Raw genomic sequence first — 18,526 nt, forward strand, 5'->3', positions numbered from 1 at the left:
TGGCCCCACACTCTGGGTTCCCTGAACTCTGGGTCCTGTAGTTGCTTCTCGTGCCCCTGCATTCTCGTGGCTGCTGCCTGGGATGACAGCATAGCTGACAACCCTCCTCTTGCTCATCAACTGATGCTGCATCAGGCGCCCACTTCACAGGTTCGCAGGGCACTGGGGAGATGAGGGGTGCCCTGCCCTGCCCTGAGGCCGGGGGTTTTCTGGAGGAAGTGAATACATAATAAGGCCTGAAAAGAGAAACGGTGCCCAGCCCATGGGAGCCAGGGAGTGTGTGGGGCGTGGGCAGTGCTGGGGTGAGTGTGCTGGGTGCTGGGGGGTGTTGGGGTGGGGGCAGTGCTGGGGTGCTGGGGGGTGTTGGGGTGTGGGTAGTGTTGGGTGCTGGGGGGTGTTGGGGTGAGTGTGCTGGGTGCCGGGGGATGTTGGGGTGTGGGCAGTGCTGGGGTACCACGTGGTATTGGGGTGAATGTGCTGGGAGTCCAGGCCCCTCTCCGGCCCCTCCACCCCAGCCTGGATCTGCAGGGCTCCTCTCTTCTCACCCTCTGGTCTCTGTTCAAATTGCCCCTCCTAGGATGTTCCCTGACCCCACCCTCCCGAGCCCCAGCCTCCCTCTGTAGCCAGCAGCCCCACCTGCATTTGCTGTGTCACCAGACTGTTCTCTCTGGGGACACCTGCCCATCAGACGCCTGGGAGAGAAATTCAGATTCCACAGGGTTTTATTGTGGTTTTGTGCTCCTAGGACCATGAGGGAATGCAGCTTCCTTAAAGTACAAAAATCTTTATCATTGACATTTAGGGTTTCATCAATTCTGTATCCCAGGGAGAAAGGCAGCAAGACCCAGGCTGCCCCCTCTGGGTGTGAGGGACCGGCTTGGTGAGGAGGGGGCTTGGGGGCATTGACCTAGCAGGAGGCCCTGACTGCCCCCACTCAGCCCAGAAACCACCTGGGAGGCTTCTGTCTTCCACGGAGGGGCCACTCTCTCATGCCCAAAAATATTTACAGCTAGGCGTTAGGGTATTAGGTGGTTTAAGAACATCAGAACCATGGCAATATTTTTGTACTTAGAATTTGAGCATGTTTGGTATTTTCAGTAGCTTGTTTAAAAAATTCCAGTAGAGGCTGGGTGCCATGGCTCATGCCTGTAATTCCAGCACTTTGGGAGGCTGAGGTGGGCAGATCACCTGAGGTCAGAGTTCGAGACTAGCCTGGCCAACATGGTGAAACCCCATCTCTACTAAAAATACAAAAAAAGTAGCCGGGCGTGGTGGTGCGCACCTGTAGTCCCAGCTACTCAGGAGGCTAAGGCAGGAGAACTGCTTGAACCCCGGGAGGCGGAGGTTGCAGTGAGCCAAGATCACGCCACTGCACTCCAGCCTGGCGACAGAGCGAGACTCCGTCTCAAAAATAAAAATTCCGGTAGAGTAATACTCTTGTAACGCAGTGTGCAATTGAGCAGTTGCTGACTGCTGATTTAGAGTTGAAATCCGACTATATTTATGTCTAGTCTTGGACAGTGGAGAATATTTCAGCCTCATTAATTAATCGGTTTAATTTAGCAGAACTGCAGTCAGTATTTGGAAACAGTTTGTTATATTAAACCCTGAAGTACTTGAGGCTGCGCGCGGTGGCTCATGCCTGTAATCCCAGCATTTTGGGAGGCCGAGACAGGTAGATCACTTGAGGTCAGGAGTTGGAGACCAGCCTGGCCAACATGGTGGAACTCCATCTCTACTAAAAATACAAAATCAGCCGGCGTGGTGGCAGGCGCCAGTAATCCCAGCTACTCCGGAGGCTGAGGTGGGAGAATCCCTTGAACTCAGGAGTTGGAGGTTGCAATGAGCGAGATCGTGCCACTGCACTCTTGGGCAACAGAGCGGAGACTCCGTCTCAAACAAAACAAAACAAACAAAAACCCTGAAGTACTTAAAAAGAAAATGAAGAGATTACATTTATAAGGTAAATTTAAAGTATTTGAGAGATTTTAACCAAATTGTAAAAAGAGATTGCTAAATTTTTACACTTATACTCAGGATATGCTTAAGGGAGAACGATGATTTTTAATATTTAATGAATGTTAATAAATCTGCGAATTACTTAAACCCACAAAACCCAGGAACCTCCCCGTCCCCCCGGGTCTCCTCGCAGTCCCGCCCCGACGCTCGACCCACCATTCGTCCCTCCCTCTGGGCCCGGGCCCCGCCCACTCCGGGCTTCGCCGGAGGCGGAGGCAACGTCGTGCGCACGCGCAGGCCGTGGTGCGGCCCCTTGGAGCGCCGGAAGCCCGCAGTGCCGGAGGCCCGCAGCGCCGGAACCTCAGAGGCGGGTCGCAGCGGCGCAGAGGAGGTCAGCTGCGGGAGCGTTTCCGGGGACGGTGCCGCCATGAGATTGACCCCGCGCGCGCTGTGCAGCGCCGCCCAGGCCGCCTGGCGGGAGAACTTCCCCCTGTGCGGTCGCGACGTGGCGCGCTGGTTCCCGGGCCACATGGCCAAGGGTGAGGCACGGCGGGGAGGGGCAAGGTCATGCCTACGGCCGCGGCGCCTCTGCTTCCCTCCCACCCCGGTTTCGGCCGTCGCCTGCTTCTCCCGGTCGTTCTGGGCTGGCCCCGCCCCTCCTCCCTTGTCTCCCCTCCTTCCCCGCTCTCACCCGCTCCCGGAGCCGCCGGGACCCCTTCCCCTGCGCAGCTGCGGGAGAGGCCCGTTCCCGCGAGTGCCCCCGCGGCGCAGCCTCGGACCCAGGGCCTGCTTGACCTCCTACCTCTGGCCCGCCGCCCCTGTCCTCTGTTCCCAGCAAGTTCCTTCTGCCCTTTTAATCCCCCGAAGCCTCCGTTTCCACATGTTCTTGACAAGATAGACTTTTCTGAGTCTTTTGGGGACTAAATGAAACAGTGGGTATGAAGGCACCTGTTCAGTTTTAACTGGTATCTTGAGTCGTTCTCCTGCTTAACGTCTTTGGTAATTCTTACTGTTTGTCACAATTCGGCCCCAAGAAGACCTCTGGGGCCAGCCCAGCCCGTCTAGGTGTTGTGATGGCCACTCCTGCGTCGGCTCCGCGTGTACTGGGGGCCGAGGGGGAAGAAGGGCCCGTGTGGGTGACTGAGGCTGTGTCCTCGGTCTTCGGATAACACTGGAGGGGAAGAAAGCTGGAAGCTTTGTTATCTTGGTTGTGTGTGGTATTCCTGGTTAGGGGACTATCGTCATCATCCCCGCGAGGTAGCAGGGGCCTAATGAGCCAGTGTTACTCTGTGTTATAGCCCAGATTAAGACCCGTGGAAGGGCCCGGCCCGGTGGCTCACGCTTGTAATCCCAGTACTTTGGGAGGCCGAGGTGGGCAGATCACGAGGTCAGGACATCGAGACTATCCTGGCCAGCATGGTGAAACCGTGTCTCTACTAAAAATACAAAAAATTAGCCCGGCATGGTGGCGCGTCCCTGTAGTCCCAGCTACTCGGGAGGCTGAGGCAGGAGAATTGCTTGAACCTGGCAGGCGGAGGTTGCAGTGAGCCGAGATCGTGCCACTGCACTCCAGCCTGGGTGACAGAGCAAGACTCCGTCTCAGAAAACAAAAAAGCGACCCATGCACGTTAAATATTCCACCCAGAGTCAGCCATGAGTCAGGTGGTGAAGACCGCATCTGGCTTTTGACACATGGCCCACCCTGTGGCAGGGTGCCTCCCAGTCTCCCACTCCGAGGGTGCGGACCTTGGAGGAGGCGCTCAGCGGATGTTATCTGTTACCATTACTTAGTACGCTTCCCTCAGATATAGTCTTTTTAGGTTATTTATGGTGGCGTGTCATTCTGGACGGTTCAGCTTGAATCGATCACTCTAGAAAGGTTGTGAGCCCCTTCGCTGAGGCGTCCTTCTGTTTTCCAGGGCTGAAGAAGATGCAGAGCAGCCTGAAGCTGGTGGACTGTATCATCGAGGTCCACGATGCCCGGATATCCTTTCACAGAGCAGGGGAGGCCCCTCTGCCTGAAGTCATATTACACATTAGAATTACCTGGGGAGGCTTTTAAAAATATGAATTGCGAGGCCCCTTTCTAGACCAGTTAATCAGAATCTGTGATGTGGGGTCCAGACTGCGTGTCTTTGAAACTTCATTGTTAATACATATATCTGCGTCACTCAAGCCTGACGGTACGGTGCAGCAGTGGAATCCTCTAGATGGGCTATGAAACTGTTTAAATGTTCCTGCCAACTGGGGCTTTTCTCCTGTACTTGAGGAATGAATTGGCAGGATGTGATGATTCGTTCACTGATGGCAAGAAAAAAAGTTGGTTGGCTGGTAAAGCTTTGGAGGAATTTTTACCTTAATTTTGCCACATCCCACTTTCAGGCCGCAACCCTCTGTTTCAGGAAACCCTTGGGCTTAAGCCTCACTTGCTGGTCCTCAACAAGATGGACTTGGCGGATCTTACAGAGCAGCAGGTAAAGGCCTTTCTCTCAGACGCCTTCAGCAGTGTGGCTGTGTTTTCCCGAGGTCGCTTGTTCTAACGGAAGAGTTGCCGGACGCACACTTGTCAGTTTGCCCAGGCAGGCTCTGCTTTAGAAACAGCCCTTTGCTTTGCAGAAGCGTGCCAGCATCGTTTCTCATATGGCGTGCCCCCATCTAATGTGTGGTTCGTGACCTGGACACCCAGGGAGTGCACGTCTCCTGTGGGAAGTGGCCAGGTTGTGCTGCCAGAGCCCGAGTGGTCAGTGAGTGCGCATTGTGGGCAGCAAGCCACCCAGGTGCCGAGGCAAGAGACCGAGGACACGAGCTTTTCCAGTGTAATAAAACATATGAAATAAGAATAGTTATACTAGATATAGGTCATAGATATGATTGTATATGAATATTACTAATCATTAGTTTGTAGCAATTACTCTTCATTCCAATATTATTATAATTCTTGCTCTATAATCATAACCTAGGAAAAACCAGGCCATACAGAGATAGGAGCTGAGGGGACATAGTGAGACGTGACAAGTGTGTGAGCCTTCTGTTATGCCCAGACAGGGCCACCAGAGGACTCCTTGGTCTAGCGGTAACGCCAGTGTCTGGGAAGACGCCCGTTGCCAAGCCGACTGTGGTCTAGCGGTAGCGTCAGTGTCAAGGAAAAGCACCCGCTACTTAGCAGACCGGGAAAGGGAGTCTCCCTTTCCCCAGGGGAGTTTAGAGAAGACTCTACTCCTCCACCTCTTGTGGAGGACCTGACATCAGTCAGGCCTGCCCGCAGTTATCCGGAGGCTTAACTGTCTCCCTGTGATGCTGTGCTTCAGTGGTCACGCTCCTAGTCCGCCTTGATGTTCCATCTTGTACACCTGGCTCTGTCTTTTAGATAGCAGTAGCAAAATTAGTGAAAGTACCGAAAGTCTCTGATAAGCAGAAATAATGGCGTAAGCTGTCTCTCTTTCTCCCTCTCTCTCTGCCTTGGCTGCCAGGCAGGGAAGGGCCCCTTGTCCAGTGGACACATGACCCACGTGACCTTACCTGTCATTGGAGATGGCTCACACTCCTTACCCTGCCCCTTTTGCTTTGTATCCAATAAATATTAGTGCAGCCAGACATTTGGGGCCACTACCGGTCTCTGCATCTTGGTGGTAGTGGTCCCCCAGGCACAGCTGTCTTTTCTTTTATCTCTTTGTCTTGTGTCTTATTTTCTTTTTTTTTTTTTGAGGCAGAGTCTTGCTCTGTCGCCCAGGCTGGAGTGCAGTGGCGCAATCTTGACTCACTGCAAGCTCTGCCTCCCGGGTTCACGCCATTCTCCTGCCTCAGCCTCCTGAGCAGCCGGGACTACAGGCGCCCGCCACCATGCCCGGCTAATTTTTTGTATCTTTAGTAGAGACGGGGTTTCACTGTGTTAGCCAGGATGGTCTCAATCTCCTGACCTCATGATCCGCCCGCCTCGGCCTCCCAAAGTGCTGGTATTACAGGCGTGAGTCACTGCGTCCAGCCTGTTTTTTTTTTTTTTTTAAATCATCGCAAGTGTTTTCACTAGTTGGTACTTTTACGTCATATCAGTGGCAACTCCTGCCTTTGAAAATGTGACTTTTTGTAGACTGGTGGGTGGCCGTCTAGTATAGGGCACAGCAGTGTCTGACCTGGTCAGAGAAAGGCCAGTGCTTCTGAAGAATCGGGAGAGAGGTAGACTTGCCCCTGGGTGGCCCTGCCTTCTGCCTCCCTGAGCAGGGACACCCAAGTACATTTACTACCCAGAGTGTGTGGCTTCAGGTGTGTGTCTTATGTTTGATCTCTCCATCCGTGTCATCTTCGTGGACAGCTAAATAAAACCAGCTGAATCAGTGAAGGACTTGTTGATTTAAACATCAGTCATACTTTAGGTCAGATGATTAACAGCACTGATGTTTAGAAATATGATACTGCTTTGCACTAGTTTCACTGCATGTTAAGGCCAGTGAATTCAAAAATTATCTGGGCGTGGTGGCGCATGCCTGTAATCCCTGCTACTTGGGAGGCTGAGGCATGAGAATCGCTTGAACCAGGGAGGCGGAGGTTGCAGGGAGCCGAGATTGTGCTACTGCACTCCAGCCTGGGTGACAGAGCCAAGACTCCAGTAAAAAAAGTAACATAGAAATGTTTTGTGTCTTTCAGAAAATTATGCAACACTTAGAAGGAGAAGGCCTAAAAAATGTCATTTTTACCAACTGTGTAAAGGATGAAAATGTCAAGCAGGTAGGCTTTTCGTCTGTGCTCTCTCTGACGCTTCTGCTTCAGTAGGTTCGAGGAGCATTATAAACTGTTTTATGCTTTAGTAAGAAGCAGAGCTTTGGAAAAGATCCTAGGTGTTGGTTTCCAGCTGCCACACACGGATGCGATCTCCTGGGGCAAGTGGGTCTCCCTGTACTGAGGGCACAAGGTCAGGCTGTAGACGCATTCCAGGGTTGTAGGTGGTCAGAGTCTTTTGGAGACTCAGGTAGCTCATGTTTCCAGTTGTATGTGGTAGAATTTTCTGGCTTGATGTGTTTCTTCATTAAAAGGTAGTTACAGCTGTCACTGAAGCCCCGGGTCTGCCCTGCTTGTTTTTGATGGGAGGGGACGGGCATAGGTGGTCCCCGGCCCCAGAGCTCAGTCTGACATCTGTGACCTGGACAGAACTCCAGTTTCCCAACACCGGATACTTGGTGTGCTACCTCCAGATGAAGGGTGACGCCCAGTTTGCCTATGAAATGTTGGGTAGAATTCCAGATAGGAGGTTTCTGTTTTCCTAACGGATATGTGAAAGTGGAGACACTGGAATCCCTAATCCTGTTCTGAGGTGGCAGAAGGAGCGGGTCAGTGCACAGACGTCCGACCTGGGGTGGCTCCATGAGTGGGTGTTTGTTGCAGATCATCCCGATGGTCACTGAACTGATTGGGAGAAGCCACCGCTACCACCGAAAAGAGGTTGGTTGGTGGGGCCCAGAGCTGGGAGTGGGAGGCGGGCGTGGGATGGGCCAGCCCCTCCTGCCTGGCCTCTCCAAGGAGAAGGCGCAGCGCCCCAGGCAGGGAGGCCCCTCCTTTGTCCTCTCATTCTCTTCAGTGGAAAGGGCCGAGGCCGTCCCCGCTGGGTGGGCAGAGCCTCGGCGTTAACCTCCCTTCTTCCCTGAGCTGACCTGGCCTGGGGTCCCCTTGCCTGGGTGGGGTTGCAGAGTCTCAGGCTCTAGCGGCCACGGTGGGCCCTGTGACCCCTCTCTCTGCCTGCGCAGAACCTGGAGTACTGTATCATGGTCATTGGGGTCCCCAACGTGGGCAAGTCCTCCCTCATCAACTCCCTCCGGAGGCAGCACCTCAGGAAAGGTACTGGCGCGTGCGGCTGATCACCTCAGGAAAGGTACTGGCGCGTGTGGCTGATGTGCTGATGCCACCATCTTTCTTGGAGGGGACGTGCCCGAGGAGCACTGCCAGTCTTCTGCTGACCCCGCAGCCCCAGAGCACATCTTGTCTCGTTCAGTCCAGTTCACAGGAGGGCTGAACAGTGGGACCAGGTCGTTCTGTGAATTTCACACTTAATTTTTCTCTCTTTTAAAATCTTTAACATGAAGATGGCTTTTCTAAACTTTGATATTTGTTCATTTATTTAAATCCCTTTGGCCGGGTGCATGGCTCACGCCTGTAATCCCAGCACTTTGAGAGGCCGAGGCGGGCGGATCATGAGGTCAGGAGATTGAGACCATTCTTGCTGAAACGGTGAAACCCCGTCTCTACTAAAAATACGAAAAATTAGGTGGGTGTGGTGGCGGGCACCTGTAGTCCCAGCCACTTAGGAGGCTGAGGCAGGAGAATGGCGTGAACCCGGGAGGCGGAGCTTGCAGTGAGTTGAGATTGTGCCACTGCGTTCCAGCCTGGGCGACAGAGCGAGACTCCGTCTCAAAAAAAAAAAGAAAAGAAAAGAAAAAAAATCCCTTTGATCCAGAGAATACAAAGCGTGTGAAGTAGACGGGGCTGGATTATCAGGCAGGGAGGCTGCAAGGCCATTCCTCCATGGCGTCCGCCTTGCCTTTGCTGGAGGGTTCCTGGACTCCGGAGTCGCAGGCGCTCCTTTCCTCCCTCTGTGCCTGTTCTCAGACTCTGATTCAAAGCAGGAGCCCCGAGCACCCTTCACTGCCCCGTGGGCTCTTTTCCTTAAGTATTTTCAAGTTTAATTCAAGTCCTTGTTGGCTTCATTTTTCATATTAATAAGGCATTTATTAACAAACCCATTCATGATGTGCAAATCTGAAGGCTTTAAACTACGGTGAACTGTTATTTTACAGAGAGGGTGTTTTTGGTGCTAATTGGAGCATTGTTACAGTCATTTATTCTTTTAAGTTTATTTTTAAGCGTATTATTTTTTATCAGTGGTATTAAGTGCATTTATAGGGTTATGCAGCCAGCACCACTATTTTCAAATATTTTGGTTACCTGAAAATGAAACTCTGTAAATACAAAGAGTCACTCCCCCAGCCTCCTACACCCCTCGTTCCACTTTCTGTCTGTGAATTCGATGACTGTAACTGCCTCCTCCAAGTGGACTCACAGTACTTGGCCTTTTGTGACTGGCTGATGTCACCGATCGTGATGTCCTCAAGGTTCGTCTGTGTTGTCCTGAGTGTCAGAATTTTATTCCTTTTTAAGGCTGATCACCCCGTTGTGTGTACAGACCACATCCTGTCTTGTCCATTCATCTGGATGGACACTTGTGTTTTTTATTCTTGGGTTGTTTGTCCACAGTGGAGTGGCCTCCTTGGGACACACCCTGAGCTGGGTCCTAGAGCAGCCAGTCGCCTGTGGACAGTGCTGTGGGAGGCAGGCTGACCTTGGGGTGCAGGGGTGGGTCCAGGAGGGAGGTGGGGGACTGCGTGGAAGGAGCAGCTCAGGTCTGACCTCCGCAGTCTGACAGTGCCTTTCCAGTCCTGGGGAGTTAGGTTCTGGTGCATTTGTTGAAGAATCTCAGTCTCTGTGTGGCTTGGAAAGTGCCCTTGCTGTGAGCTGGTTTGTGACTGAAAGTGAAACAAATTATAGCCTTGGGAAGCTCATCTGGCTTTTAGTTTCCATTTTGGCCAGATATGTTTGTTACATAGTCTCCCTGCTTGGCTGGTAAGTTGTGTTTGTTACATAGTCTCCCTGCTTGGCTGGTCAGATGTGTTTGTTACATACGTCTCCCTACTTGTTCTGCAGCTTCTGTGTTTAGTATACATTTGAGCCTCCTTTTCTCCTTTTCCTACAGGGAAAGCCACCAGGGTGGGTGGCGAGCCTGGGATCACCAGAGCTGTGATGTCCAAAATTCAGGTGGAGTCCTCAGGGGCCAGGCCCAGCACTCTGTCAAGAGCTCTGCAGGCGTCTGGCACCTGCCGACCTCTGTGTGGCTTCCGGCTGCTGACCACGCTTCCCTCCCCTCCACTCAGTGTCCCCGCTGAGCACCCCCGGGGCAGGCACTGCCCCTGCCCTTATTCCACAGTCGTCATAGTCTTTGCGCCAAACCTTTGGGGAAGGCACGCTGTTTTCCCCATTTCCAGATGAGGAGGCCACTGTCCAGGGCCATGCAGTGGTCAGGACAGACCTGAGTGTGGCGCCCCCCGCCCCACCCTCCACTCCCTTCCTTGTGTTCTCCTTGGGAGCAGAAGACAAGCTGTTGGGACCTGACGCTTTTATTTATTCTCCAAATTAAGTGGGAATTAGATCCTCTGGGGAACCCTGGAGCTTGGTGAGAGTGACGCTGCCATGGGGTTGGGTCCCTGAGGCCTTCCTCGGAGCATTGGGTGCCAGGGGCTGCCCAGGCTTCCTGAGTGGCCCACCTGGGTGGGAGGCTGCCACCGCGGCCTGATCATGCCCTCTGTGCCCACACAGGTCTCTGAGCGGCCCCTGATGTTCCTGTTGGACACTCCTGGCGTGCTGGCTCCTCGGATTGAAAGTGTGGAGACAGGCCTGAAGCTGGCCCTGTGTGGTGAGCCGGGGCTGGGGCTGGGGCTGGGGCTGGGACCGGGGCCCCTGCCACCCCACCTTTAGGGCTGGCTTTGGCACAGGGCCCCTAGACGGGAGTTGTTACTGCCTTTGACCTGGTTGCTGCCAGACCTTCCTCGAAGCTTAGTGTGAGAGCTGTAATAGTGCACAGCTGACAGGCACTGGTCACCATTCCACCCTGCCCCATGAGTGGCCTTCCCTTTCCCCATTTGACGGACCAGGGCAGAGAGGTTGGTCGCAGGTGCCAGGCAGGAGTGGGGGCCGGGACCACAGCCGAGTGCCGTCCTCTTGGTTAGTGTCTTTGTCAGTGGCTGGCCTCTTCCTCACGGCACGGTGTCTTTGGGCTAGGACTGGAAGGGATGTGTTTGAACTTGGCAGGAACATAGATGTGGCTGTTTCCAGTGCTCACCTCGGCTGCTGCTTCCACAGGAACGGTGCTGGACCACCTGGTCGGGGAGGAGACCATGGCTGACTACCTGCTGTACACCCTCAACAAACACCAGCGCTTTGGGTGAGTGCAGTGAATGCAGGGCAGCTGGGGCCCCTCCTCCTAGTCACCTCATTTAAAAAAAAAAAACAAACAAAAAAACCCCCAGCATTATAAAGGTATTATAAACACGGTAACCTGCACATCGTTTAAAGCGTCCAGTTGGACAAGTTCGGGAGTATGGCTATACGTCTGTGAAAGCAACACACAATCAAGAAAACGAGCGTTCCCGTCACCCCCAGTCCCTGCTCCTCTTTCGTGAAATCAAGGAAACGAGCGTTCCCGTCACCCCCCATCCCTGCTCCTCCTTCGTGAAATCAAGGAAACGAGCGTTCCCGTCACCCCCAGTCCCTGCTCCTCCTTCGTGAAATCAAGGAAACGAGCGTTCCCGTCACCCCCAGTCCCTGCTCCTCCTTCGTGAAATCAAGGAAACGAGCGTTCCCGTCACCCCCAGTCCCTGCTCCTCCTTCGTGAAATCAAGGAAACGAGCGTTCCCGTCACCCCCAGTCCCTGCTCCTCCTTCGTGAAATCAAGGAAACGAGCGTTCCCGTCACCCCCAGTCCCTGCTCCTCCTTCGTGAAATCAAGGAAATGAGCGTTCCCGTCACCCCCAGTCCCTGCTCCTCCTTCGTGAAATCAAGGAAATGAGCGTTCCCGTCACCCCCAGTCCCTGTGCTCCTTCGTGATCACACCTTCCTGCCCCTCCCTGAGCCCAGGCAGCCGTCTACTGTCCCTGTAGGTTGCTTTGGGTTTTCTAGAATTCCACGTAGATGGAATCACACAGGATGTGCATTCTTGTTGATCTGTCACTCGGCACGATTGTTGTGTGATCCCCGTGTGTCGTCGTGTGTTGTCCGTCATTCATCCTTTTTGTTGCCAGGCGGTTTCAGTGTCCAGGTGCGCTGCAGTCTGTCCCTTCACCCGTTGATGGATATGTGGGTTGTTTGCAGGTTTTGGCTATTGCAGATAAAGCTGCTGTGAACATTCATGTACCGACAGGTCTTTGTGTAGATCCGGGCTTTCGTTTCCCTTGGGTTAATACCTAGGAGTAGAGTGGCTGGATCATAGGGGAGGCATATGTTTGAGTTTTTAAGAAACCGCCACATTGTTTTCCAAGGTAGTTACACTGTTTTATATGCTGGCAAGCAGGGAATGAGTCCTTCAGTTTCTCTAAGATCAGTCTTTAACTTTGGCCTGTCTGATGGGCGGGCGTGTAGGGGTGTCGCATAGCATTTCAATTTGCATTTCCCTGATGACAGGGACGTTGAGCATCTTCATGTGCTTATTTGTCATCCCTCTCTGGGGAAATGTCTGTTCAAATCCTTTTCCCTTTTTTTTTTTTTAACTGAGTTGTTTCTTTCCTTATTGCTAAGTTTTAATCTTTTTTTTTTTTTTTTTTTTGAGACAGGGTCTCAGTTACCCAGGCTGAAGTGCAGTGGTACAGTCTCAGCTCACTGCAGCCTGACCTCCTGGGCTCAAGCGATCCTCCCACTTCAGCCTCCCAAGTAGCTGAGACTACAGGCGTGTGCCACCACACATAGCTGATTTTTGTATTTTTTGTAGAGACAGGGTTTCCCCATGTTGCCCAGGCTGGTCTTGAACTCCTGGGCTCAAGGGATCTGCCCGCCTCAGCCTCCCAAAGCATTAGGATTATAGGCATGAGGCACCATGCCCAGCCTGTAACCTTTTTCTAATATATTCTGGATACAAGTCCTTAATCAGAGATACGGTTTGTAAATACTTTAAGTCTGTGCCTTGTCTTTTCAGCCCTCTTAACAGTGTTTTCCGAGGAGTAGAATTGTTAATTTTCATGCAGTCCAGTTTATCAGCTAGATCTTTTCCAGAGTACTCTTGTTGTCATATCTAAGAAATCTTTGCTTAAACCAGGGTCACAAGGGTTTCCTCATTGAAGATAGATGGTTTTAGGTTTTACATTTAGGGCTATGATCCTTTCTGATTTTTTGGTATATGGTACAAGCTGCAGATTGAAGTTCTTTTTTTTTTGCACATGGAGAACCAGTTGTTCCGGAAACATTTGTTGCAAAGACTGTCTTTTCTCCACTGAATTGTCTTTGCATCTTTGTCGCAAATCGGTTGTCCATATACGTGGGTCTGTTTGTGGACTCTAACTGTGTCACTTTTCTGTGTGACCGACCGTCTTGGTAACTGCTTCTAATTTAATATGAGATTTGAAATCAGGCAGTGCTGGTAGCCCCCACTCTTCTTTGTCAAAATTGCTTTGTCTTTTCCTGGTTCTTTGTATTCTCATGCATTTTTCAGTCACTTTGTCAGTTTCTACAAAAATCCCTATGTTTCTTGAGGCCGGGTGGCAGATTCCCCTGAATTTATAGGTCAGTCTGGGGAAGAATTGACAATATTGTAACACTGAGTCTCTGACCCGTGAATATAGTGTATCTCTTCATTTATTTAGGTCTTTAGTTTTTCTTTGCAGTGTTTTGTAGTTTACAGTGTTTTGTAAGATTTATATTGAACTCTTTTTTAAACTTTTAATGCTAAGATTTATCTTTTGATACAAAGTAGATGTTTTCAGGGTACCTATGATATTTTGATGCATTCATACAATGTGTAATGATCAGATCAGGGTAATTGGGATATCCATCATCCCAAACATTTATCTTCATGCTGGAAACATTTGAATTGCTCTCTTCTGGTATTTGAAATATCCTGTAGATTCCTGTTAACTGAAGTCACTCTACCGAACTATTCATTAATCAACCTCTGTCCATCCCCTCTTCCCCTCACCTCTGGTAATCACCAGTCTGCTCTCTGTCTTAATGAAGTCCACGTTTTTAGCTCCCACATTTGAGTTAGAACATGCATTATTTGTCTTTCTGTGCCTGTTTATTTCACTTAACAGAATGATCTCCAGTTCTGTTTGTATTACTGCAAATGACAAGATTTCGTCCTTTGTTATGGCTAATATTTCATTGTGTTTTATGTACCACATTTTCTGTATCCATCATCCTTTGATGGACACTTAGGTAGATTGCATATCTTGGCTATTGTGAGTAGTGCTGCCGTGAGCATGGGAGTGCAGTATTTCTTCAGTATATTGATTTCCATTCTTTTGGGTCTATACCCAGTAGTGGGATTGCTGGATCCTATGGCAGTTCTATTTGTAGTGTTTTGAAGAACCTCCATACTGTTTTCCATAGTAGCTGTACTAACTTACATTCCCACCAACAGTGTACGACAGCTCCCCTTTCTCTACATCCTCAACAGCATCTGCTATTCTCTGTGTTTTTTAATAAAAGCCATTTTAACTAGGGTGAGATGAAATCTCATTGTGGTTTTGATTTGCATTTCTCTGGTGATTAGTCATGTTGAGCATTTTTTCATACACTTGTTGGCCATTTGTATGTCTTCTTTTGAGAAATAATTATTCAGATCTTCTGTCCATTTTTAAATAGTTATGTGGTTTTTTTTGCTGTTGAGTTGAATTGCTTATATAATCTGGTTATTAATTCCTTGTTGAGTAGTTTGCAGATATTTTCTCCTATTCTGTAGATTATCTTGTCAGTGCTTTGATAGTTTCGTTTCTTGCTTCGGGTCTTGCCGTGCCGTCCAGGCTGAGTGCAGTGGTGCGATCACAGCTCACTGCAGCCTCGAACTCTTGGGCTCAAGAGATCCTCCTGCCTCAGCCTCCCAAGTAGCTGGGATTATAGGCACGTACCACCATGCCTGGCTTGCTGATTGTTTCCTTTGCTGTGCAGAAGCTTTTCAGCTTGATGTAAATTTTTTTACATTTGCCTATTATTATTATTATTATTTTTGCTTTTGTTGCCTGTGCTTTTGAGGTCTTATACAAAAAAAATCTGGCCCAGACCAATTTCCAGAAGCGTTTCCCTTACGTTTTCTTCTAGCAGTTTTGAAGTTTCAGGTCTTAGATTTAAGTCTTTTTTTTTTTTTTTTTTGAGAAGGAGTCTCACTGTGTCACCCAGGCTGGAGTGCAGTGGCACGATCTCGGCTCGCTGCAACCCCTGCTTCCTGGGTTCAAGCAGTTCTCTGCCTCAGCCTCCCAAGTAGCTGGGACTACAGGTGCCCGCCACCATACCTGGCTAAGTTTTGTATTTTTAGTAGAGATGGGGTTTCACCATCTTGGCCAGGCTGGTCTTGAACTCCTGACCTCGTGATCCACCTGCCTTGGCCTGTAATAGCCACCGCACCCGGCCAGATTTAAGTCTTTAATCCCTTTTGATTTGGTTTTGTATATTGTGAGAGATGGGGTCTAGTTTCATTCTGCCTGTGGTTATCCAGTTTAACCAGCACCCTTTTATGGGAGAGACTGTCCTTTCCCCAGTGTATGTTCTTGGCACTTTTGTCGAAAATGAGTTGGCTGTAAATGTGTGGATGTATTTCTGGGTTCTCTGGTCTGTTCCACTGTTCTGTGTATGTGTTTTATGCCAGTAGCGTGCTGTTTTTGGTTACTACGAATATTTTGAAGTCAGGTAGTGTGATGCCTCTAGCTTTGTTCTTTTTGCTTCAGGTTTGCTTTGGCTGTTTGGGGCCTTTAGTGGTGCCATACAAATTTTAGGATTGTTTTTCTATTTCTTTGCAGAGTGTCATTGCTATTTTGATAACGATTGCATTAAATCTGTAAATTGCTTTGGGTGGTGACATTTTAACAGTATTCTTCTGACTGATAAGCATGGAATATCTTTCCATTTTTTATGTGTCCTCTTCAATTTCTTTTATCAGTGTTTTATAGTTTTCCTTGTAGAGATCTTCCACTTCTTTGGTCAGATGTATTCCTAGGTATTTTATATTTTTGTAACTATTATAAATGGGATTTTCTTGATTTCTTTTTTTTTTTTTTGAGATGGAGTTTCGGTCTTGTTGCCCAGTCTGGAGTGCAATGGCATGATCTTGGCTCACCGCAACCTCCGCTTCCTGGGTTCAAGCGATTCTCCTGCCTCAGCCTCCCAAGTAGCTGGGATTACAGGCGTGTGCCACCACGCCTGGCTCATTTTTTATAATTTTAGTAGAGATGGGGTTTCTCCACGTTGGTCAGGCTGGTCTCGAACTCTTGACCTCAGGTAATCCGCCTGCCTTGACCTCCCAAAGTGCTGGGATTACAGGCGTGAGCCACCGTGCCTGGCCTGATTTCTTTTTCCGATTACCTGCTGCTGATTTTTTTATGTTGGTTTTGAATTCTGCAACTTTACTGAAACCTTTTTATCAGTTCTAATAGTTTTTTGGTGGAGTCTTTCAGTTTTTCCCAATATAAGATTGTCATCTGTGAATAAGGATAATTTTGACTTCTTCCTCTCCAATTTGGGTGACTGTTATTTCTTTCTCTTGCCTAATTGTTCTGGGTAGGACTTCCAGTATTCTGTTGAATAAAAGTGGTAGAAATGGGCATCTGTGTGTTGTTCCAGATCTTGGAGAAAAGCTGTTTTTCCTTGTTCAATATACTGTTGGCTGTGGGCTTGTCATGCGTGGCCTTTATTGTTTTGAGGTGTGTTCCTTCTATACTCAGTTTGCTGAGAGCTTTTATCGTGAAGCGATGCTGAATTTTATTGAATGCTTTTTCAGCATTTGTTGAAATGATTGTTTTTTTTCCTTGGTTCTGTTTAATGTTATATGTTTATTGATGTGCATATGTTAAACCATCCTTGCAACCTTGAGACACATCCCACTTGATCGTGGTGAATGATCTTTGTAACATGTTGTTGAATTTGGGTTGCTGGTCATTTGTTGAGGATTTCTGCATCTGTGTTCATCAGGGATATTGGCCTGTCGTTTTCTTTTTCTGCCGTATCCTTGTCTGGTTTTTGTAGGAGGATAATGCCATATACAGTGACTTTGGAAGTGTTCCCCCCTTCAGTTTTTTTGAATAGTTTGAGTACAGTTGATACTAGTTCTTCCTTAACTGTTGATAGTTCAGCAGTGAAGCCATCAGGACCTGGGATTTTCTTTGATGAAAGACGTTTTATTACTGCTTTGATCTTGTTACTTATTATCGATCTGTTCAAGTTTTTCCATTTCTTCATGGCTCAGTCTTGCAGGGTGTTTGTATCCAGGAATTCATCCCTTTCGTCTGGGTTTTCCAGTTCGTTGCTGTGTAGTTGTTCGTAGTAGTCCCTAATGATCCCTTGTATTTCTGTGGTATTGGTTGTAATGTCTCCTTTTTTGTTTACTGATTTTATTTATTTTGATCTTTTTAAAATTCTAGCTAAATGTTTGTGGATTTTGTTTATGTTTTTGAAATAATTTTTTGTTTCATTGATCTTTGGTATTTTTTTTTTCAACTCAATTTCATTTATTTCTGCTCTGGTCTCCTGATCTCTGTTATTTCTCTTCTTCTACTAATTTTGGATTTGGTTTGCTCTCACTTTTCTGGTGCCTTGAGGTTCATGGTTAGGTTATTTGGAGTCTTCTGCTTTTTTTAGCGTAGGTGTTTGTTGCTATAAACTTCCGTCTTAGCAACACTTTTGCTGAATCCCATAGACTTTGATATATGGTGTTTCCATTTCCGTTTGTTTGAAGAAATTTAAAATTTTTCTTATTAATTTCTTTATTAACCCATTGATCATTCAGGAGCGTGTTGTTTAATTTCCATGTGTTTGTGTAGTTTTTGAGGTTCCTCTTGTTACTGCTTTCTTGTTTTATTTCATCGAGTCAGAAAAGATACTCAATAAGATTTTGATTTGTTGAAACTTGTTCTGTGGCCTAACATATGGTATATTCTGTAGAATGTTCCATGTGCCGATGAGAAGAATGTGTGTTTTGCAGCAGTTGGGTGAAATGTTCTGTAAATGTCAGTTAGACCTGTTTGATCTAGCATGTAGTTTCACTCCAGTGTTTCTGTTGATTTCTGGCTGGAAACACCCTACGGAGAGGGGGTGTTGAAGCCCCCTACTATTACTGTATTGCACTCTGCCTCTCACTTTCAATCTATCAATGTTTGCTTTATATATCTGGGTGCTCTGGTGTTGGGTGCATAGATATTTATAATTGTTATATCTGCTTGCTGAATTGACCCCTTTATCAATCGTATAGTGACTTTCTCTGTGTCTTTTTACAGTCTGACCTGTAGTCTATTTTGTGTAAGTATTGCTGCTCCTGCTCTTTATACAGTCTTTGACTTTTAGTCTGTTCTGTCATCTGTAAGTATAGCTATTCCTGCTCTTTTTTTTTTTTTTTGGTTTCTGTTTACATGGAATATGTTTTTCCACCCTTTGACTTTCAGTCTGCGTATGTCTTTATAGGTAAAGTCGGTTTCTTATAGGTAGCATATAGTTTGATCTTGTTTTTTATCCATTTAGCCACTCTGTGTTTTTTGCTTGTTTTTGAGACAGGGTCTCACTCTGTTGCCCAGGCTGGTGTGCAGTGGTGTGATCATAGCTCACTGTAGCCTTGAACTCCTGGGCTCAAGCAGTCTTCCCACCGCAGCCTCCTGATAGTTAGGACTACAGGCGTGTGCCACCACACCTGGCTGTTTTATTTATTTATTTATTTATTTTTTGTAGAGGCGAGGTCTTGCTATGTTGCTGAGGCTGGTCTTGAACTCTTGGCCTCAGATGATCTTTCCACATTGGCCTCCCAAAGCGCTGGGATTACAAATGTGAGCCACTGTGCCTGGCCTACT

General features: G+C 48.6%; 1 protein-coding gene across 1 annotated transcript in view, besides 5 other annotated features; it reads left to right on the plus strand.

Moving 5' to 3' along the window:
• Nucleotides 2,115-2,464: a silencer, noted in NCBI's record as "silent region_2981". NCBI's record gives its function as "represses an Ori minimal core promoter by ATAC-STARR-seq in GM12878 lymphoblastoid cells {active_cell/tissue: GM12878}" and the evidence as "EXISTENCE:reporter gene assay evidence [ECO:0000049][PMID:35858748]".
• MTG1 (mitochondrial ribosome associated GTPase 1) overlaps nt 2,323-18,526 on the plus strand; it is a 28,364-nt gene continuing 12,160 nt past the window's right edge. Inside the window, exons 1-9 of the mRNA NM_138384.4 lie at nt 2,323-2,498; nt 3,879-3,943; nt 4,329-4,433; nt 6,601-6,681; nt 7,336-7,392; nt 7,695-7,785; nt 9,695-9,756; nt 10,315-10,411; nt 10,858-10,939. Of these exons, the coding sequence (NP_612393.2) occupies nt 2,387-2,498; nt 3,879-3,943; nt 4,329-4,433; nt 6,601-6,681; nt 7,336-7,392; nt 7,695-7,785; nt 9,695-9,756; nt 10,315-10,411; nt 10,858-10,939 (752 nt within the window). The 5' untranslated portion in view covers nt 2,323-2,386. The remainder of the gene's footprint in view (nt 2,499-3,878; nt 3,944-4,328; nt 4,434-6,600; nt 6,682-7,335; nt 7,393-7,694; nt 7,786-9,694; nt 9,757-10,314; nt 10,412-10,857; nt 10,940-18,526) is intronic.
• Nucleotides 2,525-2,724: a silencer, noted in NCBI's record as "silent region_2982". NCBI's record gives its function as "represses an Ori minimal core promoter by ATAC-STARR-seq in GM12878 lymphoblastoid cells {active_cell/tissue: GM12878}" and the evidence as "EXISTENCE:reporter gene assay evidence [ECO:0000049][PMID:35858748]".
• Nucleotides 3,049-4,003: an enhancer, noted in NCBI's record as "H3K27ac-H3K4me1 hESC enhancer chr10:135208387-135209341 (GRCh37/hg19 assembly coordinates)". NCBI's record gives its function as "activates a minimal SCP1, AML or CMV promoter by ChIP-STARR-seq in primed H9 embryonic stem cells {active_cell/tissue: H9 hESC(primed)}" and the evidence as "EXISTENCE:reporter gene assay evidence [ECO:0000049][PMID:30033119]".
• Nucleotides 9,089-9,148: an enhancer, noted in NCBI's record as "active region_4250". NCBI's record gives its function as "activates an Ori minimal core promoter by ATAC-STARR-seq in GM12878 lymphoblastoid cells {active_cell/tissue: GM12878}" and the evidence as "EXISTENCE:reporter gene assay evidence [ECO:0000049][PMID:35858748]".
• Nucleotides 9,399-9,688: an enhancer, noted in NCBI's record as "active region_4251". NCBI's record gives its function as "activates an Ori minimal core promoter by ATAC-STARR-seq in GM12878 lymphoblastoid cells {active_cell/tissue: GM12878}" and the evidence as "EXISTENCE:reporter gene assay evidence [ECO:0000049][PMID:35858748]".

The sequence above is a fragment of the Homo sapiens genome, chromosome 10 (genome assembly GCF_000001405.40).
Source record: "Homo sapiens chromosome 10, GRCh38.p14 Primary Assembly".
NCBI lineage: Eukaryota > Metazoa > Chordata > Mammalia > Primates > Hominidae > Homo > Homo sapiens.